This window comes from Homo sapiens, chromosome 6, assembly GCF_000001405.40.
Source record: "Homo sapiens chromosome 6, GRCh38.p14 Primary Assembly".
Taxonomy (NCBI): Eukaryota; Metazoa; Chordata; class Mammalia; order Primates; family Hominidae; genus Homo; species Homo sapiens.
This window is the reverse complement of record NC_000006.12, coordinates 168,510,371-168,532,895: the sequence shown is the minus strand read 5'-3', so window position 1 is coordinate 168,532,895 and position 22,525 is coordinate 168,510,371. Positions and strand designations below refer to the sequence as shown.

Sequence of the window (22,525 nt, the reverse complement as noted above, 5' to 3'; positions counted from 1 at the left end):
ACAGGAAGATGTCCACTCTGTCGGAACAGGCCGATGGCTGCAGTGTATGAGGCCTGGTCCCTACTTTAGAAGGCAGGGATAGGCTGGGGGTCTCAAGATGGGCACCAGCTACTACACATGGGCTGTGTCTATCCCTCTTCTGTAACTCAAAACCTGTAGCTTCCTTCAAACACGTAACTCCAACCAAGCTATATATGAAGATTCTTTGAATATTGTAATATTAAAAAATCTTGCATGTAGGTTCAGCTTACAATATCTTAACCCACTTTGTACTCATGCCAGGAACCAGCTCTTGGTCAGGGTGCACAGTTACAGAGGAGAGATGAGATTAAAAACCTGAAGCTATATCCAAATACTGGAGAATGGGTTGCAAACACCCTCTCTTGGCAAAAAGGCCTTTGTTTTCAACCTCTAATCCTGCCCCCAGCAATGTTAGGCTTCAAATCTTTGTGGGGGAGGGGGGGAGGGTGGTGAGGAAGAAAAGAAAGAAACAAAAAGAAAATCCCTACAGAAGAAATAAGAACCAACTCTGTCTTTCAGGAGACACGTGGAGCTGGCCCCCAATCCCAGGACGAAGGACATGAAGGGCTTGTTATGTAGTGTGAACCCTGCCCTTTACTGTGCCTTCCTTGAACACCGGGGCAGCAGGGCACTCCCTGAGCATAAAGCCATCTACAGACCCCACAGGTCGACATCAGCAGGGCCCTGAGGAGTGCATACATCTCTAAACTGTGAGCAAGAAACACCTGCCCTAAAGCCATCTACAGATCCCACAGGTCGACATCAGCAGGGCTCTGAGAAGCACATACATCTCTAAACTGTGAGCAAGAAACACCTGCTCTCAGCAGCGCAGAACATGAAGTGGACTTGGATACGTCTCCGAGAGCCGGCTTCTTGTCCTCGCCATATCCAAGGCACCACACCATTTGCCATCAACCTCACCCCACTCTCCAGAGCCCTTGACCATCTCTGCCCACATTCTCCTACGCCCGACTTCCAGCCAAGTGTAAATAGGAATTCAAGGCCCCAAGAATTTTGATACTTTGGTATTTGGGGGAGAAACATGGGTTATGGAGACAAAGATGTAGGTTTACATCCCAGCTCTGCCACTTCCAAGCACAGAGACCTTGGAAGGTTTTCTCGTCTGTAAAAGAGTAGGTTTAACCCCTACAATTTAGGCTGCTATGAGGCAGCCAGTGTTTGGCCCTGGCGAATGTGAGCCATGGCTGGCACTTCTGCGTGGCCAAGTGGGGGGCCGCAATGCCCAGCCCGCTCTCTCCAGCTCTCCAGAGCATCCCCAAAGGCAAACCTTAATTTTCCTGTTCCCCAAATCCCCCCTGGGTCTTTCCTTCCCAGCCCTCCCTCAGGCTCAGGGATGTGTCTTTTCCTATCTTCTCCTTCCACCAGCTCCTAAGCATCTGGTCCCATTCCCTCTGTAAACATCCTCAGGGAAGGACGCTAGAGAAATGTGTACATGTGGGGAGAATTCAGCCTGCGTTACCGCTTTCAGTGGCGTTGCACGTTTTAACATTTTAAATTCCTAAAATATTGACACCCATACAGAAAAGTGCACAAAAGATAAATGTACACGTAATGAATTATTATCAACCAAAACCTGTGAAGACATTTTCCAGAGCAGGAAAAGGACTCCCCAAGTCAGCCCCCTCTGCAATCACAAAATTGACCCCCCTGCTCTCCACCGCATGCAAGCAACCGTGGCCCTGCGTGTGTGGCCATCACTCCCTGCTGGTCTTCATGGTTTGCCACCTCTGGATGCATCCCTCAGAGCTGGAGCTGAGTTTTCTGACTCTCAGCTGTGGGAGGATTTGTGGTTGGGGTGCCTCCGTGTGGGGCTCCGTGGACTCAGGAGGACATTAGCGCACGGCACCACTGAGGAAGGCACTGGACCTTTTCATCAGTGCTCACTGCTCTGTAGGATGAACCGAGCGAACCGCAGTGCTCACCCAGGCAGACGCCAATGGACACAGATCTGTTTCCAGGCTTTGGTTCTCATGTGAACACTGCTGGGAACGCCCTCCCAGGTCTCCTCCCACACAGGTGAATGCATTTCTCCTGGGTTTCCTCCCGGAATGGAAGAGCTGGGATCTTAATCACCCACATGCAAAGGGGCAAACTGATGTTGCAAAGGGCAGTACCAGTTCCCACCACACCCGCAGCTCTGTCCTCACCAGCAAGTCATAGAATCACGGTTTTTCATTTCTGCCAGAGCAGTGGGTGTGGGGGCGGGGGGGGGGGGGTTGCACCGTGACTTTAATTTGCATTTCCAACCAGTGGGTGTGGAGGGGAGTTGCACGGTGACTTTAATTGTGACTTTAATTTGCAGTTCCCTGGGACTGAAGATCCTAGGCACCTTTTCCTGCCTTTACTGGTCATCAGGATTTTTTCCTTTATAAATAAAATGCTGCCTGCTCGAGACTTTTGGCCGTTTTTCTGCTGGATTGTCTCATTATATTATCTGATTAATAGGAATTTATGGATTAATAGGAATTTAGGTATTTTGCATTCATGGCTTTAAGAATACATGATTATGAAATAAAGGAATCCATTTCCTATTAAAGATCTTTCTGAGACAACTGAAAAGCTGGGAGGCTTTGGGGCAAGGGCTTTCTCTGCTCTCCAGGAATCATGCCAGTCAGTGGAGCCCCGTTTCCCTCCGCTGTGGCTGGCCTCAAGTTACGTTTGCATGTATTATTCATAAACACACACACATGCACTTTCTGAAAAACAGCTCCTATCTACGGCTCTTTTTAAATCTCATTGTCTGATTTTCAAATTTTTATAGAGTCTGCTTCTATGGTAACCTCGGTATTAACTTGAGGGCAAAAAACATTTATTAAATACTGAAATTTGCCCAATTTTAGTAAACTTGATGAAAAGTACTCCTGCCATGTACAGACAGTGCATACTGCAGATTAGCCATTCTGTGTATGAGCTGACTTCTCCGTGAACCCCCAAGGGTATGCCCAGAGGTCCAGCTCCCTGGCGCCTACAGATCAAGACACTGCCCAGCTGTGGCCCATGCTGTTGACCACGATCTCACAGGTGATGCCCGCTTCTCTGCTTCTCTGCATTACTTAACTTCCCTGCTTCTCTGCATTATATAACTTTCAGGAAGAAGTTAAATTCCAGTATGAATTTATGATAAATTCTCTGTGTTTGGGGGGTATGTATACTCAACACCTCTCGCCTCCATAATTCTCCCTTCAATTTCAAAATTCTCTCCACAATTTGCCATGACTCCATAAAGTTTCCAAAGTGACCCTGGCATAGACACTGGCTCCGCCGTGCCCACATGTGTGCGGAGGGGAAGCCTGGAACACAGCCAGGGATTAAGAGAGTTTTTCCGTAACTCTGTAGACCTGCGGAATATACTAGTTGCACCGAACAGGTGAACCAGGGGTAGAAGGACGCTTGTCCTGCCAACACCAAGGGTGCAGCCAGCGGAACCCTGCCCCGACGTGGAAACACTGCCCCCCCTCACAGACAGCACCGTCTTCTCAAGGAAACTGCCCCTCGGCATCGAAGCTTTTCATCTCGCACGCCTGGCTTCCTACCCAGCGCATGGGCTGCCCAATAAACACCAGACTTCTATATGCAAAGGGCCATCTACTCTCTTCCCCAGTCCATTCCTTGGACCAAACGTTCCACGTAGGCAGTTAAAAAAAAAGGAATATTTCTATACAGTGAGATGATACTGAGACCTAGTTGGAAGCAACAACGTGAGTAGATGGTACACTGATTTGATTCCAGAAACAAGCCACTATTTGTAGATCGTACAAAATTCAGCCAATTTTGCACATGTTTTCTAAGAAAGTTCTTTGGGACACTCCTTAATTATCAGATGATATCACTAAAGCAACGGAAATAGATGCCCCTATCCCCACTGCTTTCCCCTTCGTAAAACAAGGCTCACCTCAAAATGCTGCTTGTGGATGAAGGAAATAGGAAGTGAAAGTGTCTCTCAAAGTCAAAGAGGGACACACACAGACCCAGTTAATCTTGGTGATGTTTTTCTGTTTCATTTCCTCCATGAGTTTGCAACAGAACTATTAGGTATACATGTTAGCTTAACTAAAGATATATTTCCAGCACTATTTAGGCTCTGGAGAAAAAGTTTTTACAAATAAACATATTTTAATTCCACATCATGCATCCCCATGGCCAGTCGCTGGAAACATTAGGCCTTATGTCATTGCTGACTGTGGACACCCTCATTCTCCTGGAACCCACAGAGGTCATGAGTTCTGGCCAGGGCCATGGCTCAGGAAGCTTGAAAAACATTTGAATAATAAACAGAATTCCAGATTAAAAGATATATATCCCTTAAACAGAAAAATAAATCAAAAGGTAAACTCTAAATGCAAATGTTTCAAGATTGTACATGAGAAACAGGGAGAGACATTTTGTAGTTTATTATTGCTTTATATTGATGTGTTTTGACTATCTTAATACATATGATCCAGGAATCTGGAGGGCTAGATCATAGCATTTCTTCATAGATGGTCTGATAAGTCTCCCCCACAAATTAATCAAACTTGGGCTGCAGATTATTTTCAAATAAAAATGATCTAAATCATTTACAGCACTATTGGCAAAAAAAAAAAAAACACTAATGGGAAAGAGAATATTTTACAGATTTTTAAACTTCTAATTTTATTACTTTTAGTACATCAAGCCCTCTTACGAGTAATAAAATAACATAAACCATTTTGAAATTGACTTATGAAGAAAGACCCATTTTTCTTTGAAAACATATGCATACAAAACCAGCAATTTTCACTTTTTTGGCCAAAGAAAACATTTGGTCATTTCCACTGGTGACTCCAAGTCCTTGCGGTTATTTTAAACAATTAAGGGACCTGAATCATCTTAACCCATCATGATCAGATGCAGGGCTATCTTCCTTTAGTAAGCTGGCCTCCAGCCATATGCATACATTCACACAGCTTCACCCTTCCCCTCTTAAAAACAAGGGCTCCCTAAAATGTAGGCTTTGTCAGTGACGAGATCTATTCCCACTGTGGCTCACAATGCCGGCCAAACTGGATTTCCCTTTGAATTATCAGTAAACCCAGGGAAGATGATGAGAAGAAACGGCAAACCAATTCCCTTCAAGCCTTCCACTTGGAAAGGCACGTCAGACCTACCCGGGCACCGGGGCGTCTTGTGGGCCACGGCAGTGCCGCTGATGGGCCTCCCGTTGGGCGTGACGCACCAGCAGTATCCCGTGTAGCTGTGACACTGGACCTGCGAGAGAGCACAGGACGGGTAAGCCCTCCCGGGCCCGTGGCGCAGCGCCTCACGGCTGCGAGGCCCACTCTGCTTTCTGCGGCAGTGGCTCAGACAGGGTCCTGGGATACCCAGAGCTACTTCTGTGGCTGCATTTGAGTCCTCGGTAAAGAAAGTGTGCAGGTCTTGACCCCAGGGTTTTAGAGATAAAAGGGGCCCAAATCAGCACTTTACTGACTGCTAGTGTGGGCTGGACACCTTACCTGTGAAGCCACTAATCCTCACCGCCTTCCAGATGGAGCCCTAGCCCTCATCTTATGAGTGGGGAAACTGAGGCCCGGGAAGGTCAGGAGCTCCCCACTGTAGAGCCAGGAGAGCAACCTCGGCCTCTTTAGTGTTCACTCTGCAGCCTGCACCGCCCGCTCCCCCTGCAACCAGGGCCAGAACAGCCTGTCCTTCAGCTCCAGCTCCTCTCTCTCTCATTCTCTCCCTCGTTGTCTCTCAAAGGCCAAACGATGATGTAAACACACAGAACTCACATCATCACCCAATGGGCCCCAGGCATGTCAAAGTGCAGAACCCGTGCTGTTTTTTCTGCTCTTTCTGCCCCTGTGCCAGTTAGCATTGTATGTTAGTACTTTGTTTTTCCTTAATAAGGAGTTAACAGCATTGACACACTCAAAACGGAGAGCTGGCTGACTTTCTCAACAGTGCCTTTGGCTGACAACATGAATTTGACTTGGCTCAGCTCCATGTCTGTGGGCCCATCAGGTTGGAATGAATGATCCAGGAGCTCACGCTTGGCACAGACACGACTTTTAGTGTGTGCTCCCCATAATTAAAATCAAACTAAAATTAAATTCTAAGCTGCAAGCCAGGTTAGCACGGTCTAATTGGCCTCACTAAGGAAGCTTCCAGGCTAAATTCATAGTAATGAAAGTGTGAATGACAGCAGCAATGATATAAATGCCTGCACCAACTAAGAAATAAACACACACCTTCATTTATGTGTCTATTTATGCCAAGTAGGCTCATTACGAATTAACTTCTAAAATGCAGAAGGCTGATTTCCCCAGAGAACAAACCCGCTGCTTCTTCTGTTCGGCTCCCCCCACCTGCCTTCTCCCCACACCCGCTCCACATCTCCCTCCCTAATCGCACAGGTGCAGAACCTCCCAAGCAAGGCCGGTAACCTGACTGTAGGTGCCGTCGTCATTGCACTCAGGAATGAACACTTGCTGAAACTCCTTCCGGGCTTGCTCCTGGGTATACTTCCTTTCGGCCACACACCTGGACACGTCTGTAGGGAAGAACAGGGCAGAGGTGTGGTTATGCAATGGGAAGAAGATAGAACAGATATAGGAACATTGAAAGATGTGAAGGCATGAGTTAGGCAGGAGTGCTGAGGACCTGGAGGCTGGAAAGGGCTTCACAGGCAGCTCAGCTCTCAGAAAAGGGAGCCTCAGAAGAAGGGCAGGTGCCTGTCACATGCAGGCCTGGTCCTATCTGATGCGAGGCCCAGGGGCGGGAAGGGCAGGCCCATTCTCCACATTGAGTGAGGAAGAACACTGAGGCCCAGGAAGGCCTCCTAGCTTATCCCTGGGGAAACAGGTGGCCCCTGCTTCCTGAAAATGGGGAAACGCCAGCTGCCTGGTGGGACGGAGGCAGGCTGTCCTCAGATCCAAGGACGACCACCTGAACACACCAGGATCAAGTCCAGATGCAGAGGGTGGGCAGGGCTAGATGCCACCATTAAAAACAGACCAAAGGGAAGTGACTGAGGGGCGGGGGTCTCAGGACGCACGCGGTGGGACTTCCAACCACAGCTGCAGCCCAGGGCACCGTCCCACTGAGACCAGCCTGAGAGGAGAGCGTGGCTCGTCCCTTTTCTCTGTTTCCCGTCCTGCCTCTTCCACCTTCACATGGAAATCTGACTGTCAGGTGGATAAAAGGGTCAGGTCTTCTTAGAAAGCCTCATCCTCTGCCCCAGAGGCTCCACATCCCACCTTCCCAACAACACAGATTTCACAGAAGGCGCAACGTCACTGCTACTACTTAAGAAGACACCCCAAGGATGAGCAAAACTGGAAAAGTCTTTAGACTTCCAGGCATATCTAAGCTCACTGTGGAAAAAAACTAATTCAGAAATACAGAGACATGAAAAGCAGTAATGCAGGATCCGTGTGTGCCACAAGCAGGCCTTGTTTCTCCCTAACTTGCACAATCAGGGCCAGGTTAAGACACGTGAGGACCACAAAGTCGGTTGCTTACTGAAGCTCTTCTCAGCCTTCCAGCCCAGGGAGTGAAAGCTGTGAGCCCAGCATCAACCAGGCCCATCTTTCAGTGCCCCCAGGGGGAAAAGGCTTGTCCTAAGAACAGCCTCCCACCACAGGAGACGACGTCACGTTGGCTGCCATGGGCCGCCTCCCCGGAAGCAGAACACACATGCATGCTTTACTTCTTGGGACCATCACACCATATAGCTTATTTGAATTTTAAAACTTGAAAAAATGGCTTTCCTTTTTAAAAAACGTATTTCCAGATTTCAATCACAAGTGCCTGCATCTTGAGAGAGCACAAAGGCCGTCTCGACTCCAAGGACTCTTCTTCAAATGTTGTTCACTTCCGTCTTCAGATGGTGACTTTTTGACTCCCTCGTGGTTAAAGTGCTGGCTATGGCAAAATGCGATCCGATTACCAGCCCTGGGCTCCACCCGTCACAGCGGGCTCCTACAGGCTCCGCCTCTAACAATGCTCCAGGGCCTTTGTGCGACTCCTCTCTGGCTTTTGCAGAACCACCGGCCACATGCTGCATAGAGCATTACGGGCCTACACATCTGAGCAAACGCTCCTCCATGCATCCCAGCTTCATGCCTTCAGCTTTATTCTAAAGTCTGGCCTGGCCAGCCAGCACTCAGCAACATGTGGTTTTAATGCAGTCTGTGTTTTAGCTGAGGAGAAATCACTGCTTTGCTGGACTTCTGTCCTCGTTTTTTAGTATAACCTGTGGTTTTGACTGTCTAAAAAGGAAAAGTGATATGAGTTCCAGCTTGCGAGGTCTCCACGAGGTACAGATGGAGCTATAAATTAGGTCTAATATTTGAGCTATCATGGAACATGCCAAGAAAGCTAAGTTTTCCAAACTCCTGTGGGCTCCATTCTTGGCGTGGACTTCTTTTAAAGACTTCACATTTGCCACTGGTCAGATAGTTCTGAAATCTGCAGCTCTTGGGTTTAATAGAATATTAAATTCCAAGTTTACGTCTAGCCTATGGCAAACTATTTAGTCATAGGAAACAATTAAGACTTAGCATGAAATTACAAGGCCTGCATAAATCATCACTCAAAATAAACCTGCAGTCATCTTATGAAGTAAAACTGCTACAGGGTTGCGGCTTATTCCACAGATTTGCTATTCCTTATTCTGGATATCTCGTGTTAAATCAGGTTCAAGATCTTTACTACAGAGAAGTGCCTGACCAGCATCCGACAAGGTCCATTCTACCGAGAGGCACAAAATTGCCAGAGAATGAGCACTCAGAAACAGTCATGGCCCCCGTGTGTTCTCAATATCACTCTAAGCCATTATATGCTTGATACAGACATACCTTAGACTGAATTAAATGCCCCTCTTTATAAAAATCAAAATGTTAAACACACCCTCAAAATTATACTATTTCCAACTTTCCAACTTTTTAATCGCTTTGAAAGAATGGAATAGGATGCTTCAACACTGTCCCCTGGAAACCTTATTTACAGATGATGATAAATGTCTCTCCTTAATATATTTTTACTCTGTATGATTCTTTGGTTGAGTTAAAAATTAAGCAGAACCCTAACTGTTTAACAGCCTTGTTGAGATTCCACTCTGAACACTTTATGTTTAACTGTTTGATTATTAAATCCCCAGAACATAAGCAACATAATTTTTTAAATTACTGTATGACGGCCAGGTGCGGAGGTTGATGCCTGTAATCCCAGCACTTTGGGAGGCTGAGGTGGGCGCATCACGAGGTCAGGAGATGAAGACCATCCTGGCTAACATGGTGAAACCCCGTCTCTACTAAAAATAAAAATAATAAAAAAAAAAATTAGCCAGGCATGGTGGCAGGCGCCTGTGTTCCCAGCTACTCTGGAGGCTGAGGAAGGAGAATCACTTGAACCTGGGAGGCAGAGATTGCAGTGAGCTGAGATCGCACCACTGCACTCCAGCCTGGGTGACAGAGCAAGACTCTGCCACAAAAAAAAAAGAATTACTGGCCGGGCGCGGTGGCTCACGCCTGTAATCCCAGCACTTTGGGAGGCCGAGGCGGGTGGATCTTGAGGTCAGGAGATCGAGACCATCCTGGCTAACAAGGTGAAACCCCGTCTCTACTAAAAATACAAAAAATTAGCCGGGCGCGGTGGCGGGCGCCTGTAGTCCCAGCTACTCGGGAGGCTGAGGCAGGAGAATGGCGTGAACCCAGGAAGCGGAGCTTGCAGTGAGCCGAGATTGCGCCACTGCAGTCCGCAGTCCGGCCTGGGCGACAGAGCGAGACTCCGTCTCAAAAAAAAAAAAAAAAAAAATTACTGTACAACTACAAATAACATAAAATTTACCATCTTATCCATTTTAAAGTGAACGATTCAGTGGCATGTAGCACATTCATAGTGTTGGGCAACTGCCACCTCAGCCTAGTTCCAGAACATTCTCCTCATTCCCAAAAGAATGCCCGTTAAGCTGCCATTCCCCATTTCCCCCTCACCTCAACCCCTAGAACTATCCGTCTACCTCCTGTCTCTACAAATTTGCCTATTCTGGGCATTTCCTATCAATGCAATCACACACGAGGTATCCTTCTGTGCCTGGCTTCCTCCACTTAGCCTGATGTTTTCACGGTTCATGTATGTATGCTGATGTATGTCTACACCAGAGATGGTACATCAATGTAATCATACACGAGGTATACTTCTGTGTCTGACTTCCTTCACTTGGCATGATGATTTCAAGGTTCATGTACGTGTGTTCATGCATGTCTACACCATCAATGTAATCATACACGAGGTATCCTTCTGTGTCTGGCTTCCTTCATTTAGCGTGATGTTGTCAAGGTTTATGTATGTTACAGCATGTTTCAGAGCCATGTTCCTTTTTATGGCTGAATAATATTCTATTGAACAGATGGACCATATTTTGTTTATTCATTCACTCATGGATGAACACTTAGGATCTTTTGGCTATTGTAAATAATGCTGTTATAGACATGCAGATGTAAATTTTTGTTTGAACGCCTGTTTTCAAGTCTTTTGGGTAAAAAGTAGAAATGATGGAGTAGAAATGATGGTTCACATGGCAGTCCTGCATGTAACTTACGGAGGGAGTGCCTGCTGTCTGCCACAGTGCTAAACCGTTGTATGTCCAGCCAACAGACACAAGTGTTTATCCACCCAGAATTTATTTTGTCTTTGTTACACTGTTGTAACCATCTGACTGGGATGAAATGGTTTCATAGTACTTTGGCTCATAGTATTATATTACTATAATCAATGTCTACCTCAGAGAAAAACATCTTAGCTGGAAATTATAATATTAACACTTTAAATAAAAGTGTTAATCTCCTTCTAATTGAAGAATTTAGTCACTTTTTACTAGACCAAATAAAAACTTTCTTATGTGAATTTTGTCATCTATTTTTAGAAAATGTTTGCTCTTACCTGCAGAGCCGGGACTTTATAAAGAAAGAACTCATCATTGCTTAGCAAGGCATCACTAACAACAGGTTTTGTTTTGCTTTAGAGACAGGGTCTCTGTCGGCAAGGCTGGAGGGCAGTGGTGCCATCACGGCTCACTGCAGCTTCAACCTCCTGAGCTCAAGGAATCCTCTCACCTCAGCCTGCCCAGTAGCTGGGAAGACAGGCACCACGACTGGCAAATTTTTTAATTTTCGTAGAGATGGGGTATTGATTTGTTGCCCAGGCTTGTTTTGAACTCCTGGTGTCAAGCAATCCTCCCGCCTCCCAGAATGCTGGGATTACAGGCATGAGCCCCCACGCCTAGCCCTAACAGAAATATTTTGATGAATTTTTGGTTAATGATAGTTAATTGTGCAAGCAATTTATTTCTACCTGTTGGATGATATTTCATCTCTCTCAGTTACAAAACAAAATAGGCTCCAATCAGATTACAAGCTTGTTTACATATCAAGATATGTCATGGAGACCTGGCACAGTGGCTCACGCCTGTAATCCCAGCACTTTGGGAGGCCAAGGCGGGTGCATCACCTGAGGTCAGGAGTTCAAGACCAGCCTGGCCAACATGGTGAAACTCCACCTCTACTAAAAATACAAAAATTAGCCAGGTTTGGTGGTGGGCACCTGTAATCCCAGCTACTCAGGAGGCTGAGGCAGGAGAATCACATGAACCTGGGAGGTGGAGGTTGCAGTGAGCCGAGATCGTGCCACCATACTCCAGCCTGGGTGACAGAGCAAGGCTCTGTCTCAAAAGAAAAAAAAAGATATGTCATGGAAACCATTAAAATGTGATGCTCACTACAAAGTAGAAATGAAAACAGTGTTTTATAATGGTTACTTATGATGAGTGTTTTCTTTTAAACGGAAAGCAAATAATTCCCTACTTTGCTAGAATCTCTCAAAACAGGATTAGGCAAGAATCAGCAGAGATTGCTTTGCTGAACATTTTACAGAGATCTGGAGAGCAACAATTAAAAGGAACAGTTAAAAGGGATCTTTGAGAAAACTTTTCAAAACAGGGCCAAGAAACAGTGATCTTCACAGGTGATGATGAATTTGGTAGTCCTAAGCCCAGAGAGTTCCTCTCTCAGGGACTCCTGTCTGTAACAGAATCGAATAACATAAACACACTAAGCTAGGCAAAAGTGAATCAAAGTAACTCTTCCTGTTGGTCTTCCAAGATGCTTTGGTTTACACCAGAGATGGTGTCTCAAGACTTTGATGCCACTCAGCTTCCTACTGCAATAGGCAGAGAACTTTGGGACACAGGTAATGACTGTGGTGTCTCATTTATCGATATGGAAGGAGCAGCTAGCTGGATATGTTTCTGGTCAACAGATGCTCTGACTCTGGATCTCGCGAGGTCACTGAATGGCTATGATTATGGCCACGGCCATGTAAACTCTTCAAGTTCAGGCTCAGCTTGCACTGCCATCTCCCCATGAGCCAGTGCAGGGCTGGCCGGGACGGGGCTGGTGTGGGAATGCCACGGGCTGAACGAGCAAATGGCAGCCAGGCAGAGGACACATATGGTGTCTTTGTAGTGGCCACGGCAATGATAGCCCTCAGAGTGGCATGGCTTTTATTGATTTTGGCATCAAATGAAGGCAGACACTGTGTTTTAAAAGTTGTAGTATTTTACCCACCCGTAATTTTGAAGGCCAGAGTCAGAAAAACTAAGAATGCCATGCTGCAACACTCTCCAGCAGAACTGAAGTATTCTTTTCCATCCTAATATCCTAATATAGATGAAAGTGCTGTGATAAGCGCCCCCAACCCCAGTGGTCTGCAGCCCTTGGCCAGCAAAAGCAGCATGATGCATCCCCACAGCAGCAGACTAGCGCATCCGTCCAACCTTCCCTCAACCATGACCAGAACGACACCATTTCAGAGCTAAGGGAGACAGGAACGACATTTTCGTTTTACGTAAGTATTCTCTTTTTAAATGCATAAAGGCAGAAACAAAATTATAATAGGAAATCTCTAAATATGTAACTGAGATTGCCAAATTGTAAAGAGAAAGTTAAGAGAAACTGCAAACCATTGCAAGACTATATTACAGTATTCAGACAGCCTTTATAATATTTATACAAGAAACCACAGATCATGCCCATCTCTATGAAAATATCAGTGATTTGCAACAGATCGAAATGGATGATTGTGTAAATGGTCACTAAATCCTTTGCAGGAAGGCTGACTAGAACCTTCCAGAGGGCAGAAGCTCCCTAGGCTGTGCGGAGAGGCCCCTGCTCTGCTGATGAGCCGGTGCCTTGGGTTTGGTGGTGCCACTAAAGCAAACAAGGAAAGGCCCTTTGGATGTGCGATGTTCTAGGAACGTCCGGCTGTGTTTCTGATCACGGCTGCACACGAGACCGAAGGCCCTGAATCTCCTGTTATGTCTACCCCAGCCTGTGAGGAAGGGCGCTCCCAAACATCAGACGTGTTAAAATACCATAAGCGAGTTAAGGTAAACATACTCTGGGTAGAGTTTCTGCAAGACACAAGCACAAATCCGATTGAAGTTGCTTCTGATAACTGTGTCTGCTGGAAGAAGAAAATCCAACCTGGAAAGGGTGGAGCCAGGGATAAGCACCTGGCCCAGGAGCCCAGGGCACAGAAAGAATCACGGACACTAATGCTCACTCACACATGCACGCACGCACATGAACACACAAACATGCACGTATACACACTCTCTCACACACGCATGCATACACACACATACACATGCACGCATACTCACACATGCACGCATACACACACGCATGCTCACACATGCACACATACACATGCATGCATACACACGCGTTCACACACGCATGTTCACACATGCACGCATACATACACTCACACACATATGCATGCTCACACATGCACACATACACACACATGTTCGCATGCACGCATACTCACACATGCACGCATACACACGCATGCATACACACGCGTGCACGGATACACACTAACACACATGCAAGCATATGCACGCACACTCATGCTCACTCACACATGCACGCACACACACGCATGCTCAGACACATGAATACATTCATACACAAGGAGGCACACACACGCATGCACACTCATGCACTCACATAAACATGCATTCACACACAAGCACATACATGCTTTCACACATGCACACACGCACATGAACACACACACATGCACATTCACACACATGCACACTCACATAAGCATAACACTCACACATGCACGCTCATACACATTCACACACAAGCACACTCTCCATACATACACACCCACACAAGCATACACTCACACATGCACTCAGTCATACATGCACACACATGAACACACATTCACACACATACATGCATTGTCACATACATGCACTCACACAAGCATACACACGCTCTCACACATCCACACATGCACATTTACACACATTCACACATGCACACTCACATATGTACACTCACAGGCACATGAATACACACATTCACACATTCACAGTCACACATGCACACTCATGCACACATTCACACACAAGCATACACAATCACACATGCACACAATGCACATGAACACACATTCGCACTCACGCACACACACCTCAGGCATACACACATGCAACAGAAACGCCCTCTCACACATTCACACATTCACACTCACACCCCCGCACAGATTTCCTTCATGGAAATGCCCGTTCTCTGAGGAAAATGAACAGGTCGATGCTGCCCGATAGGAGCCAGGCGACACTCCGGCCCCGGGCGCTTGTGCGGGGGTGAAGGAGCCTCATGGGGACGTCGCGACTCCCGCTTCCTCCAAGGCGAGGCTGTGGAATTCCGAGGAACGGGCAGGTGTGGAGCTCTCTGGCCTGTTTCTAGGCCGCTGAGTACGAGGACGAGCTCGACGGAAACACTCATGCGATGGGAAAACCTCCAGAGAGAAAGAATTCTTTGGGTTTCTCTGAACCGGCTCCTCGTTCTAGAGACGCGAGGACAGAGCCCCCCGGCCCAGGCTCGCGCTCCGGCGCCCTCAGCTTGTAGCCCTGAGAGTCTGGAGCTGGGCTGGGCATCGGGACACCTGCAGAGCCCGCCCTCCACCGCCCAGGCCCCTCCACCGCCCAGGCCCCTGCATTTCACCCCCACAGGGGGTTCCCACGTGCTGCCAGCGCCTCACCCGTCAGAGTCTGCCCAGCCCCAGCTGAGGAAAAGGCGGGGTCCTCCTCCCTACAGGTGCTGAGAAGAAGCTGCGAGCCGCAGGGGCCATTGCCGTGCTCTCAGGAAAACTGCAACAGAAGGAGCAGAGCGCGTGGACGGAGCCCCACGGGGAGGCCTGGTTCCTCTGGAGTGTGAGACACCCGTGGCTCCGGCTTCTTAGGCAGCGCCTGGCCTCAGAGCCCGAGAGCTGTCGCTGCTGATTCAAAGGATGGCAAAGCTGCTCCCCCGGCAGGGCAGCCCCTCAGGTCCACGCTGGGAAGTGGAAGGAGCTGCACCTCGACCCACATCAGACGTGAAGCCGCCTGGCTTTCCTCCCGGAGACACTGCTGCCCGCTGTTCCTCTCTGGAAGCATCAGGAGCAGGCGTGAGGCGGCTTGAGAAGGCCTGGGAAGGTGCCACCCCAAACCCCTGCTGGGCCTCACAGCCAGGCCACGGCGCCGCTGGCCACAGGGGCAGAGTGGTCCCCACCCCACCCCAGCTCTGCAGAAGCTACAGAGAATGCCAGAGAGACAGCCGCAGACAGGCCTCAGAGCGAGGCCTCACAGCTGACTGTCTGGGGCAACCTTGAAGAAAGGAGCTTTTCCAGGGAAGCGCTGACACGAAACGCCTTGTCACGGCACAGCGAACTTGGATGAGCGGCCCCAAAACCAACAGTTAGATTCCTGTTACAACCATCACTTGGCCATGGGAGTAAACTTCTGCGTGTATCACTCCAGGGGTTCACCAACGGAAAGAACAGTCTCTAAACCTCATCGTGGCAGTAACCTTTTTTCTTCAGACGGAGTTTCAGTGTTGTCGCCAGGCTGGAATGCAATGGCACGATCTGGGCTCACTGCAACCTCCACCTCCCGGGTTCAAGGGATTCCCCTGCCTCAGCCTCCTGAGTAGCTGGAATTACAGGCACCTGACACTACTACCGGCTATTTTTTTGTTGTTGTATTTTTAGTAGAGACGAGGTTTCACTATGCTGGCCAGGCTGGTCTCCTGACCTCATGATCTGCCCGCCTAATAATCTTAATAATAACAGCATGTGCGTTCATCTTGTGGAGATTCGAATCTGATTGTGATACCTGTGGACTTCCTGCACCGTGGGCCTCATGTGTGCCAGATGCTGGCTGAGTCCCAGCCGCTTTGCTGAGGGCTGTTGAGGTCATTGTGCAGCCTCGGAGATGGATGCACAGAGCGACAGGTGAAGTTAGAGCCTTTGTCACCATGTTCCCTTCACTGAGACTCGCCCGTTCAGAAGCTCTTGGTCCTCAGATCTCCAAGGAAGCTGCTTTTGTCCAATATCTGTTTCCAGAAATCTCAAAATAGTTCCAAGTTCTCCTGGCATTTGGCTTTTTTTTTTTTTTGGCTTTTCTATGGAATGCCAGAGATTTTGTTGAAAAGAAAGACAGCCCTAAAAGTCTCAGATCAAAAGAAAAATATTAATGTGTGTGCAGAGTTCTGAAAACATAAACTCCACAAATTTCTATGAAAATATGAGAAAAATGCATCAGTGTAAACTACCGCAGTTCTATTCAAGGTCAATGGCTAGATCACTGTGTGAAGTGTGCAAAACATTTAAATCGAATTTAATCAAACATGGAGTAAACTATTTGAATTGTTTCCAAATAGTACATCCAAAAGAGACAGGCCTATAGAACTATCACCCACCAAAAATGTAAAAATGCCCCCAAAATGCTAAAGACAGCCTCAGCCTCATATGTGCCGAGGCGACACTGTGCTACACTAGCCAGCGCCCACTCCAGGAATCACGTAGAGAAAACCTGGAGGTTTATTTGTGTTACACGAATGATCTAAAGGGACAATCCTGTGCTCCCTCTTTTACCTTCAGGGAAGAAAATTCTCAACCTGGGTTTTGTTGTGGAATGTGCAATATTTATACTCTTAGAGGGAAACAGAAGCACAATTTGCTGAGTAGACACCAAGCCCCGTGTCTGTTCTCACCCGTCCTGGGCTCAGTGTGTTTTGCTCCTGCTCCCCAGGAGCCCCTATGCTGCGTTTGCAGCAGTGGGACAGGCTGGATGCTGGGATGAGTGTGTAAGTGACTAACAGTGTGACAGCCTAGAGGAAGGAGCCGGCCCCTCAGGGCGAGGCCTAGGAAGGAGCCGGCCGCTCAGGGCAAGGCCCGTCTTCCGCCACGAGCCAGGATGCAGGTGCGAGGCTGCTTCTTTAGGAAAACTCCAACTGCAGACGGGAGGCAGGAGCCCCTTTTCAAAGGCAGCCCCCAGCAGGGAACAGACTTAACTGGAGGCAACTCGTGGAGCGGAAAGCGGACGGAGCCTCTCCGAGCCCAGCCCCACATCCAAATCTAGACTATCAGAAGGGCGTGACACCCAGTTATTTCAAGATCTGTGATGCGCGGGGAACAGTCTCTCCGCAGACTGATTGTAACGTTTGCCGCCTTGGCAGCTGCAGCACCACACACGAGATTCTGAAGACTACAGGTGTCTGTGCGTTCTTTCCAACAGAATCCTTTAGATTTAAGTGAGACCTACTTTGGTTAGGTCCATTTTATTTTTGCCTACTTCTCCCTTATATTTGTTTGTGTGTCATAATTTATGGTATAAAACTTCTTCAGTAACATAAATGAGAATTCCTATTGAAATAATCATCCAGAAAAATTAGCTTAGATGCAGGTACAAATAAACTAACAAGGATATTACCAAAAAGGACATCTGTGTTTAATTGACATTTGTTCTCCCTGTCCAAAGAGAATGTCACTGTGACCCTGCAGCTGGGTACGGCAAAGATCCGAAGTCACATGCTAGGGAGACACCTGAAAAGCCCACGAGCCAGAGAGGGTCACAGGTGTCGAGCTTCCACCCAGAGAGATGGACCAACCATCCTCCCTCCTTTGTCTAAGAAATCCCTCACATGCTCATCCTCAAAGGCTACGGCTAAAGCGGAAGCTTCTTCGCGGCCTTTCAATGGCACATCCGACTGGAGTTATCTAAGGGAACACGGCAAGAAAAGGGAAGATGAAATTCCAAGTTTAATGAGGTGCTGTGACCTCCCCACTTCTACAGCGCTTGTTTCCACAAGCTAAGACTTCATAGGCGATCACTTGTAAAAACTTCTCTGAAGAGTACATCATCTGATATTTAAATTTATTCTTAAATTGTTTCTCCTTTCTCAGCACAGATAGCTGAGATTTATAACTACAGCCAAGGTATCAAATCACATCTGAGTCTTTCTCCAGTGTGAGTCTCACACACGTCGGTCAGACACAAAGGAAAGAAGAACATGCTTCCTTCAAGCCATGTACCTGGCTCCACGCCAACTTTCCATAACCCATGGCCCTGCGGTTTCCTGGGTGAAGCATGCTGGAAATCACGTTATCCCCGGACAGTTGTCCAACGCACCACTGTCCTTCCTAGCCAATGAAGCAAGACTTCTAGCAGTAGAGTATCGGCAGTGGAAGGAGACACTCATTCAGTGTGTGGAACGAGACACACTGTTCTTGGTGGGCGCTGTGTGTCCTTGAGTCTGAAAGATGCTTCTTAAAGGAGTAGCTGGTCTCCAAAGAAACAGACTGACTTGTTTTTTCTCAGATGCAGAGTAAACAAATTTGCAGCGTTGGGGCAGGCTAGGGAAGCTGGGTGGGGTCGGCACTTTGGGGTCCTGTGCTTATGACCCCACAAAGTAGGCACCACTGGGCTCTGGAGAAGTCCCATGAGGGCCCCCTGTGCACCCCGCTGTGTGCCCCATGGCTGGCCCTTGTGTGGAGGGAGGTGTCCTGCCACCCCGGAGGGCCCCAGCCATCCACCTCATAGGAGAGTCTGAAGACAGGCCGGGCGTTGGGAGCATCTGGGATCCTATTGAAAATCTCACGTGAAACCGTTTCCAGTGCTAGAAGCAGGCCAGTCACTTCCCACCTGGAGGATGCTGCCAGGGACAAAGATTCTTACACAGTCCCTGAGTTCTGGGGCACCCAGTGCTGAACTGAATCAAATGAAGAGACGAGCTCCCTGAGAGGTTATCTGATGGAGAACAGCATGGACTCACTCGCAGCCTCAGCGCTCTTCAAGGAATCATTCAGTAAGAAGAAAACGCCAATTTACTGAATGTATTAATATCAAGTAAATGTCAGGACTTATTGAAAGAATCAGGTTGAAGCAAATTGATCATAGTTTTAGAATCACATAGAACCAAGCTGCTTAGTAAATATCAGTTGTCCACTTGAATAAACTAAGTTTGTGTGTGTTTATGTGAGTGTCTATGTGTGTGTGTGTGTGTGTATGTATGTGTGTGTGTGTATTTGTGTGTGTGTGTCTCCCATTGAATGACTCTAAGATATTTCATCCAAGTTTTCACCACGGGAATTAAAACTAAAATAACGTACAGTTTACTGAAACCTAAATGTCTACTAAGAAAAAAAAACCTATAAGGACAAAATACTGATATAGAACTATAGAACTTCAGGTACGTTAGATTCAACAAATTATTTTCCTTTTCTTTGAGATAAGAATGGATGCTTAGGGAAAAAAATAAATCAGTCATTTACAAAACATCATTTATTTTAAATGGTATATTCTATTTTCCCTACCACCACAAAGAAAGCTGGAGCAGCTATTGCTGCTACTATAGTCAAAGTTTCAATGTGTGTTTTAATGTAAATAGTGCATACAAGTATATAATTCAGTGAAAGAATGTCAAATGCTTTCAATTTTAATCATGTTGTCTTTACTTTTATGGACATTTTATAGAAAGATATTTCACATCTGTGTTTTAAATAACTTTAAACTATTTTTCTACTACAGTGAAATTTGTATATATATAGATCTTTCACTTCCACACATTTTCCAAGTGTTGTTGTTTTCTATTTGGGCTAAAGTTAGATGGAGTCAGCTCCTCAGTGTGCGGGTACACTGGAGGGTCAATGTGTGGCATCATCACCAGATGTTAGCTGTTTCTAGAAGGGGCTGGCACTCCCTCAGGCCATAGAAAGTGGTTTTCCAGAGTCCCCCAGAGCTGTTTCAAACAGATGAGTGTCCAGAGCCCAGCTCTCTGAAATGGATCCTGAGGTCTGGGGTGGGTTCCACAAGCTGGCAGCGACCATTCCAGGCCACAAGCTGTGCTTGCCAAACCTGTCCCACTAAGTTCATGTCAGCATCTTTAAACTTTGTGTTTGGGATTCAGCTATGATACTGCCACTGCACTTCATTTATTTAAAGTATGAATCAAATAATTTTTTACTGCATTTTGTTCCTTGCAATCTCAGTAGCATATTGAGGTTAATCAGTGAATTAAAGTTCCATTTTCCCTTTGAAAGTAGCTCACCCCTCCATTTGTGGTCCTTTCTAAAGCACGCCAGGGCTTCAGCACAGCAAGACTCACTGCAATCGTGCTGGTGACGCTGGGGTCTGGCACCCCTGGACAAAGGCACAAGGCGGGTGCTGGGATGGGGCAGCCTGGTGAGCTCAGGGAAGCATGCGCCGTGCAGAACAGCAATTTGCATCCATCCCTGTTCTGCCCACGACTTCCTGTGTCTTTCCATTTCCCACAGGAGAGTGCAAATTCCGGGATCCAGCACTCAGCCCTGCCAGCCCGGCTCCACCTACTTCCCTCTCGGGCCCTCCTGTCGGTCCTCAGAGGACCCTCTGAGTGGGCTTCTGTCCTGGGGTCTTCATGACTCCCCCAGCATGAGGGGAGGATAACATCATCACATGATAAACACTTTAGAAACAGCATCTGACCGACAAACCAGAACGGGACTTTAAGCTCCACAGCACCATTCTCTCTTGTGCCCTCAGATGTATAATACAATCATCTTCCCAGGGACACTTACTAGAGAATCTACCTGCCTACTTACTGTGCCCCATACCTGGCATTTGTGTAGCCTTTAAATGCTGCATCCTGAAATACTCTGACTTTGAACAAACTGTAATTTCAGAAAAAAAAAAAAAAACAACCCTTGATAATGAATAGCCATTTGTCATGGGCAAAGCCACAGGTGCATGTGGACAGGAGTCTGGCCTTTAAATCCGGAGTCTGTGCACACTGCTGGCAGATAAATGCATAGGGGTTGAGTTTGCCACCGGGCAAAGACCAAGGCTCCAGAGGGAGTTTATGCTGTTCCTTGTTTTCAGAGCACTAAATCTGGGAAAAGTCACATGTTTCTTAATGACAGGGATGCACTCTGAGAAATCACCCTGATATGGTTTGGCTGTGTCCCCACCCAAATCTCACCTTGAATTGTAGTTCCCCACGTGTCATGGGAGGGACCTGGTGGGAGGTAATTTAATCATGGGGGTGGCTTCTCTTATGTTATTCTCATCATAGTGAGTTCTCATGAGATCTGATGGTTTTATAGTGGGCTTTTTTCCCTTGCTTGGCACTTGTCCTTCCTGCCATCATGTGAAGAAGGATGCGTTTGCTTCCCCTTCTGCCATGATTGTAAGCTTCCTGAGGCCTCCCCAGCTGTGCAGAACTATGAGTCAATTAAACACCTTTCCTTATAAATGTACCGGTCTTGGGTATGTCTTTATTAGCAGTGTGAGAACAAACTATTACACACCTTTAGGCAAGTTCACCATTGTGTGAACATCATAGAGTGTACTTACACACACTTAGATGATATATACATCTTCATTTATATACTTATCTTTTCATATGGAAAACAGAATGTCCCAGCATCATTACTGAACATCAGTCATTTCCCCTACTTGATCGCAATGCCAATATCAAGCGCCATCCAACAGGTTTCTACATCTGCTCCATTACAACGTTATGGGACCCCTGCTGGACATGCGGTCTGTCATGGAGCAAAACATCCTTGTGACCGTATATAGGAATGTCTTCATAATGTCAGTAGGAAGAACTCTCAGGCCTAAAGAACAAGGCAAAATTCTGCCTTCGTCGTCTGCAAAAGTAACTGAAATCTGTTTACCTGGTATTATATTGCATTATGAAAGGAAGAGCAAGCTTATTCCACACCTGGGTAAGCAGGGACGTAGACACTGCACTCAGTGCTGGTTTGCAGTGTGGCTGCTGTTTTGTTTCATTTAAGAGGATTGCTGAAGCTAACTGCCAGATGATGCAGAACTTCATCTCAAAGGCATCTTTAGTCTTTGTGGTCTTTTTTCCTAGATACTATGACAAACAAGGTAAATCTCTTTCTGAAAATAACTCTGAAACATCAGCATCTTTTGCTGAATCAAACCCTTCACTGATGTAGGAAGCATTTCAATCTTTGGCTCTAAGCATTAGACTCTTAACTCTGAATCTAATTCTTAAATTGGGAAAATTGAGAGTATAAAATCAACACCAAAAAATCACTGAAAACTGCACACGTGCTATTGTACACATCCCACTTGCTAAAAAGAAAAATGAGAAAGAAAGAAAGAAATCTT

At 46.9% G+C, this 22,525-nt stretch overlaps 1 protein-coding gene across 4 annotated transcripts in view, besides 1 other annotated feature; it reads right to left on the bottom strand.

Annotated features, from left to right (window-relative positions):
- Positions 1-22,525, bottom strand: part of SMOC2 (SPARC related modular calcium binding 2) — a 226,809-nt gene that overhangs the window by 135,097 nt on the left and 69,187 nt on the right. For all 4 annotated transcript variants that reach the window (NM_022138.3, XM_011536066.2, NM_001166412.2 and 1 more), the window contains exons 3-4: positions 6,444-6,550; positions 5,169-5,268 (exon numbers count right to left, since the gene is read on the bottom strand). In NM_022138.3, the coding sequence (NP_071421.1) occupies positions 5,169-5,268; positions 6,444-6,550 (207 nt within the window). The remainder of the gene's footprint in view (positions 1-5,168; positions 5,269-6,443; positions 6,551-22,525) is intronic.
- Positions 4,152-4,289: a silencer, noted in NCBI's record as "fragment chr6:168929287-168929424 (GRCh37/hg19 assembly coordinates)". NCBI's record gives its function as "represses an EF-1alpha promoter that drives an FKBP-Casp9 reporter gene in an ReSE screen in HepG2 liver carcinoma cells {active_cell/tissue: HepG2}" and the evidence as "EXISTENCE:reporter gene assay evidence [ECO:0000049][PMID:32094911]".